This window comes from Homo sapiens, chromosome 15 (genome assembly GCF_000001405.40).
Source record: "Homo sapiens chromosome 15, GRCh38.p14 Primary Assembly".
NCBI lineage: Eukaryota > Metazoa > Chordata > Mammalia > Primates > Hominidae > Homo > Homo sapiens.
The window spans coordinates 37,117,224-37,125,840 of record NC_000015.10 but is presented as its reverse complement, the minus strand read 5'-3'; positions in this window follow the sequence as shown (position 1 = coordinate 37,125,840).

Below are 8,617 nucleotides of genomic sequence, written 5' to 3'. Positions count from 1 at the left end.
TGCAACGCGTGCATGCACACACACACACACACATACACACACACCAAAAAGCCACTGGTACAAAAAAGATCTGCATCAAATTAATAGTTACTTGCTGAACAAAAATAAAAATGTTTTTATTTAAATTACAAGGTTACCTATAAGGTATTAGGTTGGTGCAAAGTTGCAGTTTTTGCCTTTAAAAGTAATGGCTACACATCTCTAATCATTCCAAAGTATTTTTACAAATTGTTCTTATACTTTGAATTCATCTGCTCCCTGCCAAATAGGAAAACAACCACTAGACAGTATGCTCTACAATTGAAGTTATTTTACTGTGAAGAGATTTAAAGTTGACCAGCCTCTAAAGTCATGTGTGCTAGATGCTAATCTTTATTTTGGAAAGCAACTCTACAGAAGTCACTGCATGTTGAATTGTTTAGCAGAGCAAGCAAGCGCTCTTCAGGCATAGGCCTGACACTCTGTCTCTGAAAAGAAAACTCTGTCTTGGTGAGGGAATATGATGTCCAACCACTCTCTACCTGGCTGGGCTCCAAGTACATGACGAATTGCAAAAATACAATATACAAAAGGAATATTTATGTGTCTTCCTCCATCAGATACACAGTATTTTTTCTCCCATGTCACAAAACTTGTAACCGCAATTTACAAGTATATGCACAAACTGCTATTGATTTAACGATGCATTTCTTTGATGTCCCTTGCCTTAACCTCATTTATAAAGCTGTTTTGCATTATTTCAAACTGTCAATGATTTGTGACTCATGAATATTCAAATCTAATTTGCACTTACCTTTTTGGTATGCATGCTTACTTGCAATATGTCTCTACATTTGCCCTTTTGTTTTGTATTTATTTGTGGATTATTTTATTGAAATAATACTCTTTTAAAAGCATATTAAGTCTATTTTAAAACAACAGGAGTGGTTGATGATTGACTTTTCTTGGTCTCAGTGCACTCTGTATTTTGCCGCTTAGCAAGTTCAGTCATTCTGTAAACATGTCTCTAGTATTAAAAATAATCATCCTTTTGCTAATAGATGTCAGTTTCAGTGGGACGGATTTAGTTTGCTCAGCTATATGTCTCTAGGAAAGAGTCAACAAGTTTTAAATGAACTTGAGCCTTACACAAAAAAAGAAAAAAAGGAAAGGATTATTTCTGGTGGAAAAACAAAAAGTTCATGCAGAATTGAGCCCTTCATGTCAGTGTGGATCAACTTTTCCACTTACATTGTGGAATGCCAGAAATGAAACCTAATTCTCTCAAGCACTAAAAAACCCTTTTAGATGTCTTTCAGATGATGATAGCTAAAGGAGACACCCAGGACTTTGTGGATTGCAGGCATGTCACTAGTGATTGAAGCTCCAAAACAGCAGAGCAGGGAGCCATCTGCCTATAGAATGGATTTCTTGCAAAACCTGTTCAGAAACAAATGAAAAGTGTTGTTATAAAAAAAAAAATGGAGCAAAGCACACCACTTTTGTAATTGATTTCTGGACTCAACTGTGATTTCCAAGAAAATCCAAACAATTAACTGCCCTACCTTGCCAAAAAATTTTTTCAAATATTTATGTTTCATGCCAGCAGCTAAAATAGAAAAATACTTCATGGCATTTACAATACGATAGTTGCAGATTTCCTTACTTTTCTTCATGCTCAATTTTTAAACTTTGTTTTAAGCTGTAGAGAAATCACTGGTCACCTATTGCCTTCCATTGCATGATAAAGTTGTCCCAAAATTTACTAAATTATTCTACACAAAAAAATAAACACAGGTCCCAGTTCATCCCATCTAGCCAACAACATGTTTCTTTTTTACAAATTTCTCATAATAGCTCAATTGTAGATAATCCGTCAGGTGATATGATCTCCTTCCAAATGCTACTAAATTGCTATCTAACCTTTTTGTAGTTATTTTTTATTTAGAAAGCAAATATTTTTATTTTAAACAAAAACGTTTTGCTGTCATATTTTATTATTGATGTGTTTAAACAAACATACTCTGTCTAAAAGAGTTCATGTTTTCCCAAATTTATCATTTTCTTCATGACTGTTGATATCATTATTATTTCCTCAATTTTGAAAACCAAACATCACAGATTCACTGGGCCCCATAGTATGCTACCCAAAGCTATCTATCAGGTAAACCCCTTTACAGGATGCTATTTTTATGCACGTAACTAACCAATTTGTTACATGCTGATTTTTGACCCATGAATCAGAGGACTCCTCCCTGGGAGATAGAAAACTCTTAGGAACAAGGGTTTTAGCATTATGTTCCTTAATCCTACTACTAACTTGCTTTGTAAACCATAGTAAATTTCCTGAATCCCTAAGAACCTTAATTTCCTCATCTAGGAAACAGGGATGTCCCACTAATAATGATTGTGCCTACTTCATATTGTTATGAGAATTAAATGAGATTATTCAAATGCAATGCTCAGCATACTAGCTGGCAGTTAGACAATACTCAATATGGAGCTGCTATTTCCATAGCCCAATTTTTGCCAGAGTTGTACCTAGTTTCTCATCAATTATACTTTAAAGTAAGCAAACTTTGTCTTCTCAAAATCTATTCCGTATTTCCTCCACTGTATATCAGCATAACAGTTAAAGCATTTGTTCCCAACTCTAGGGCTAGGTCTAATCAATGATTGGCTCAGGATCCATGGTTAAGCCTTCCAAAAAGTCATTCAAATGAGGTATGAGGGAAAGTTTGCTGGGGTCTTCTCAATTTTTTTTTCACACATCTTCCCACAACAGCATCCAGAGAAAGAGAAACAGGCACTCTTCCTCTCAGTGTGGTTGTGGGAAGATAAGAGGCTCAGAGCTGCTGCAGCCATCTGGCTGCCAGCCTGAGGATAAAGCTGATACACATAAGATGGCAGAGCCAAGAAAATTGAAGGGAATGAGAGATGGAGCTTGCCCCACCTCTTGCCAATGGCATAACTTTATTCCCTTATTGCTTAAGCCACTTAGAATTGGGTTTTCTGTTACTTGCAGCCAAAAACATTCTAACTGATTCAGGGAGGCAGGCTAAAGAGCAGTCCAGTGCCGGAGTTTACAGGAGCATATAAACATGTTGTAACTCCTCCTGCCTTTTCTAAGTCAGTAGCCCAGCCACATCTCCACAATGTGTCTGTCTTTCTGAAAATAGAAAAAAGATTCAGAGCACATCTTCCAAGATTACTCCAGTCTCCTAAATAACCAGCAGCTCTTTTTGCCTTTTTTTTTTTTTTTTTTTTTGAGATGGAGTTTCGCTCTTGTTGCCCAGGCTGGAGTGCAATGGCACGATCCCAGCTCACCACAACGTCTGCCTCCCGGGTTCAAGCAATTCTCCTGCCTCAGTCTCCCAAGTAGCTGAGATTACAGGCAGGCACTGCCACGCCAGGCTAATTTTTTGTATTTTTAGTAGAGATGGGGTTTCTCCATGTTGGTCAGGCTGGTCTCAAACTCCTGACCTCAGGTGATCCACCCACCTCGGCCTCCTAAACTGCTGGGATTACAGGTGTGAGCCACCGCGCCCGGCCATCTCTTTTTGCTTTTGTAGAAATAGAATTCAAAGCAAGGGCACCCCTGTCTTGCTTTTGTAACCTCATTTCAGATCCGCAGTTTACAGAATTTTAGCGCTCAAAATGTACTCTGAATTTTACATTCTTCACGTCCTGGAAAATCACAACCTAAAGTAGAATGGCAACACATGCATCTAATCCAATGGCATGAATCTAAGTAAAACTTATTTTATGATTTGGTTTACGATTCTTTTGTTCCTATTTCTAGCTGACCAGTTTAATTTGATATACATAACCTAAAAATAAGCTGGTGTCTTTACGCTTCTTTTTTTTATCTATATAAGGACAGATCTAGTTTGCTTTATCTCTTAGGAACCTGAATAATAGGTTATATGATCAAAAGAAGCAATTCTCAGCTAAAAATCTAACAATGCACTTTTCATGGTCCCAGATCAGTTTGGTCTTTCTCTACCCCCTTCCCACCCCATCTGCCTCCAGCTATCCATGATTTAAATCTTATCAGGAGCTCTCATGATTATAGTTCTAGTGTTCCTTTGAATAAGCAGTGAGAAAAGAAGCCAGGTAATTGTGTATTGCTCTAAAATATATGGAACCACAGATCTGGAGACATCTTTAGATATTATCTAAAGAACCAGCCACAGATAATGCCAGAGACATGCCTAGGGTCACGCTGCTTGGAAGCAAGTCATCTGATTCCCTAGCCAGCATCACTGCTACTACACCACCATGCCTCTCAGGAAAAGTGGCTCTTAAAAGATGTATGGGTAAATAAATTACTAAATTTAACCTGTGGGGTGACCCTTTGTTGCTTAACTTATTTTCATGAGAATCTAACTTTATCATATCTCAGCTTTATGGTTATTTTTTAAAACTATGTATTTTAAGATATAGAAGGTCAAGTCACTACCTATTTTGCTGAAGATTTCTTTACAGCATGTTAAAATATGTCCTTTTCGGTGTTGCTGAAAACTGGAATAAAAGTAGCAAAAATATGTGGTTTTCTTATTGGTCCTCCTAAACTGAGACTTGATCAACTGGTGTTGAGGGCCATTGTGACTGTGGTCTTGCACTTGTTACATGGAGGACATTCATAGCCCACTGAAGGAGGAGCTCCTCTATCCATCCTGCAGTCCAGCAAATATCAATACTTGAAACCAACAATGGAGACACCGTGGCTAACTATAAATCTATGGATTTTTTACAGAAGATTTTCAAAAATCTAGAACTACCAAATGCTACTACCAGTACCAAAAAGCCCATATATTTCAAATGCCATAAAACACATACTTTTCATGAATCCATACTCTGTTAAAACACATACTTTTCATGAATCCATACTCTGTCAATCTTACTCATATATGTGAATTTCATAAATCATAGTCTCTCACACACAATAGTCTCTCACACACACAGAAACACAGAGTAAAAAACAATAATAACTGGTATTTAGAAATCAACTGATTCAAAATAAAAATTCTGACTTCCCCACAGTGGATGGGTATCTCTAACTTAAAAGTTTTTGTTTAATTCACAGTTGAAATAGGATCCTTAAAGAGATTTCATTAGACTTCATTTTCAGAAATATTTCAAAATTAGCTGCAAACCAATCATAAGTGAAAAAAACATCTAGAGTCCCTGGGATTATTGACCAACAGGAAAGGGACAAATGAGATTGTATCCAAGTATCCTTTCCATGACATCTTCGCTCTTCTTCTAGTATTCGTTAGGGCCACCTAAGGATTCAACTTAGGAAGTGTGGGGGGAAAAAAAAAGCACAGCAGAATCTAATTTAAATTTATTGCCTACCAGTATGCAATAAGTTTAAAAACTTCAATGACACTGTCTGGGTGTGGTGGCTCACGCCTGTAATCCCAGCACTTTGGGAAGCCGAGGTGGGTGGATCACTTGAGCTCAGGAGTCTGAGACCAAAACTAATAAAATAATTTCTAGTGATTATTTTATTAGTTTTATTCAATTAAATAAATTGAATCTGTAGTTAAGAATCGTTTTTTGTAAAAGAAGGCCAATATTATTTTAAAAAAGTTAACTTTACATAATTTTTAAGAAACATAATTTCAATCACATATTAAGTTATCTAGAGAATAGAAATGGGAGGAAACTCTCCCTAACTCCAATCAAATGTTACCAATATTAGGCAAAGAAGATTTGTGTGTGTGTGTGTGTGTGTGTGTGTTTGAGACAGGGTCTCGCTCTGTCACCCAGGCTGGAGTGCAGTGGCACGATCTCCGCTCACCTCAAGCTCCGCCTCCCGGGTTCACGCCATTCTCCTGCCTCAGCCTCCCGAGTAGCTGGGACTACAGGCGCCCGCCACCATGCCCAACTAATTTTTTGTATTTTTAGTAGAGACAGGGTTTCACCGTTTTAGCCAGGATGGTCTCGATCTCTTGACCTCATGATCCGCCCGCCTCGGCCTCCCAAAGTGCTGGGATTACAGGCGTGAGCCGCCGCGACCGGCCAGGCAAAGAAGATTTTTTAAAATTTAAAGAAAAAAGAAAAATGATTGTTCGTTATCTCACATCAATAGAAATTTAAAAATCTTAAGCAAATATTATTAACCTAAACCTGGCTGTGTAGTATTATACACTTCAATATAACCAAAACCATAAGAATAGTTTAATATTAGAAAGTTTATAAATAAAATAACAGTAACAGAGTAAAGGAGAAAAAATATTTATTACATATAGAAAAATCATTTAACAAAACTTAACACTAAATTTTTTAAATTCTTGGTGAACTAGGCATGGAGGAAAACAGCTTCCTTCATCTGATAAAGTTTATTATCAATTAACTGCAGTAAATAACTTTCTTAATGGAGAAAGGCTATAAACAAGAATTTCAAATTAATAATAAGATAAGGATGTCCGCTATTTAGAAATGCTTTGGTTTGACATTGTCCTGGAGATCTGGTCCCAGATAGGGCAATAAGACCACACCCCTCTCTCAAAAAAAAAGAAAGAAAGAAAAAAGGGGGGTTGGGGAAGGAAGAAAGAAAGGAGAAACGAAAAGGAGGGTTGGGCACAGTGGCTCAAACCTGTAATCTCAGCACTTTGGGAGGCCAGGGCGGGTGGATCGCTTGAGCTCAGGAGTTCCAGACCAGCCTGGACAACATGGTGAAACCTCAGCTCTACCAAAAATAAACAAAATTAGTTGGGCATGGTGGCATGCACCTGTAGTCCCAGTTACTCAGGAGGATGAGGTGGGAGGATTACTTGAGCCCAAGAGGTCGAGACTCAAGTAAGCAGAAATTGTGCCACTGCACTCCAGTCTCAGTGACAGAGCAATAGCCTGTCTCAAAACAAAAACAAACAAACAAAAATAAACAAAAATAAACTAAAAAAAAAAAAGCAAAAAAGAAAGAAAGTAATAGGATTGGAAAGGAAGAAATAAAACTGTCATTTTCTGTAGACTATATTATTATCTAGTATCTACATTGAAGGCCCAAAGAATTTGTAGATAAATTGATATACGAGACAGGCAGGCTGAAGATACTTGGAAAGCAATGGAGTTGGTGGAGTTGGTACACTGGTTATCCATACAGTGAAAATGAAAGGGATTCTTACCTCACTTCTACACACAAAATTCAATTCCCTGTTGTTAAAGAATTAAGTATAAAAAGAAAAGACAATCAAATTTGTTAATAAATTTTATAGAACATTTTTTTAAGTTCAGAATGCAAAATATTTTTTATACAAGACACAAAAAGCATGTCATAAAAGAAAATATTGATAAATTAAATTACAGTAAAATTTAAAACTCCCGTGTATCAAAACACATGTCAAATAAAATTAAAAGCCACAAATTGGAATAAGATGTTTGCAATATGGAATTTATAAAATTAATAATTAAAAAACTCAATATAAAAATGGGAGAAATACATAATAAACAGGTATTTCACAAAAGAGGAAATATAAATAAAGAAAAAGCATATTAGATGTTCAGCCTTATTAGTGATTTAGAAAATGCACATTCAAAGCCACAGTGAGATACCTTTTTACACTCACCAGATTAGCTTGGCAAAAAGAAAAAGAAGTCAAACATTACCAAGTGTTAGGAGAAAGGGTTGTAGATCAACAAGATGTCTTCTGTACTACTAGCAAGAGTGTAAGTCAGTGCAATCGCTCTGGAAAATAATTCACATTATCTTGGAAAGTTGAGCATTTGAATACCAAAACATTGGAAAATGTACTCTTATATTGATACTCTAAATCTAGAAAAATCTTTGTACAGGAGCATCAAGAGATACATACCAGAATGCTTATTGCAGAACTCTTTTTAGTAACAACAAAAAATGACAACAACCCAGGAGGTAATGACAAATAAATTGTATTATAATTACAGGATGGAAAATCAAGCAGACATTTAAAAGAAAAAGAGTGAACTATCACTATACACACAAAAAAGAATCTTAAAAATGCAACATTGAAAGAAAAAAGGAACCCAGAAAAAGTAACTTGAGTGTGATACTATTTTTACAAAAAAAAAAGCAAGATGAAACAATATATTGTTTAGGAATATGTATACATACAATACAAATATAGATGTATACAGAAAGGTTAATATATTAATAATATATACAATATCATTTTATTGCACATAATTTATATTAAGTACATATAGTTCAGGAATGCACACATAGAAAAACTATTAACAAAAAATTCAGGATGGTAGTTACCCTAGGAGGAAAGCCAAAAAATGAAAAGGAAGGAACACATGAGTACAGGCAATGTTTCCCTGCTTAAATTTGGTGGCTAGTTTATAAATGTTTCTTTTATTATTAAACATTGTAACATTTAAGTAGTTATATGTATGCTTTTGAATATAACACATGTTTTACTAAAAATAAAAGTAAGAAAATAATAAGTGATCATTTTTTAATCAGAGTAATGTTACGACTAAAAGGATGGGAAATAACAGATGGAAATAAGAGAATATTAGAAAAAACTCAAATCAGAAATCCTTGGTTTCAGTAGAGCAAGAAGTGAAGTCATCTGAGAACAAGAGGAATGAGAGTAGTTAGGGGCTACTGAGTGTGTCATAGAGAAAGGAAGAAAGGAGGAAAGGA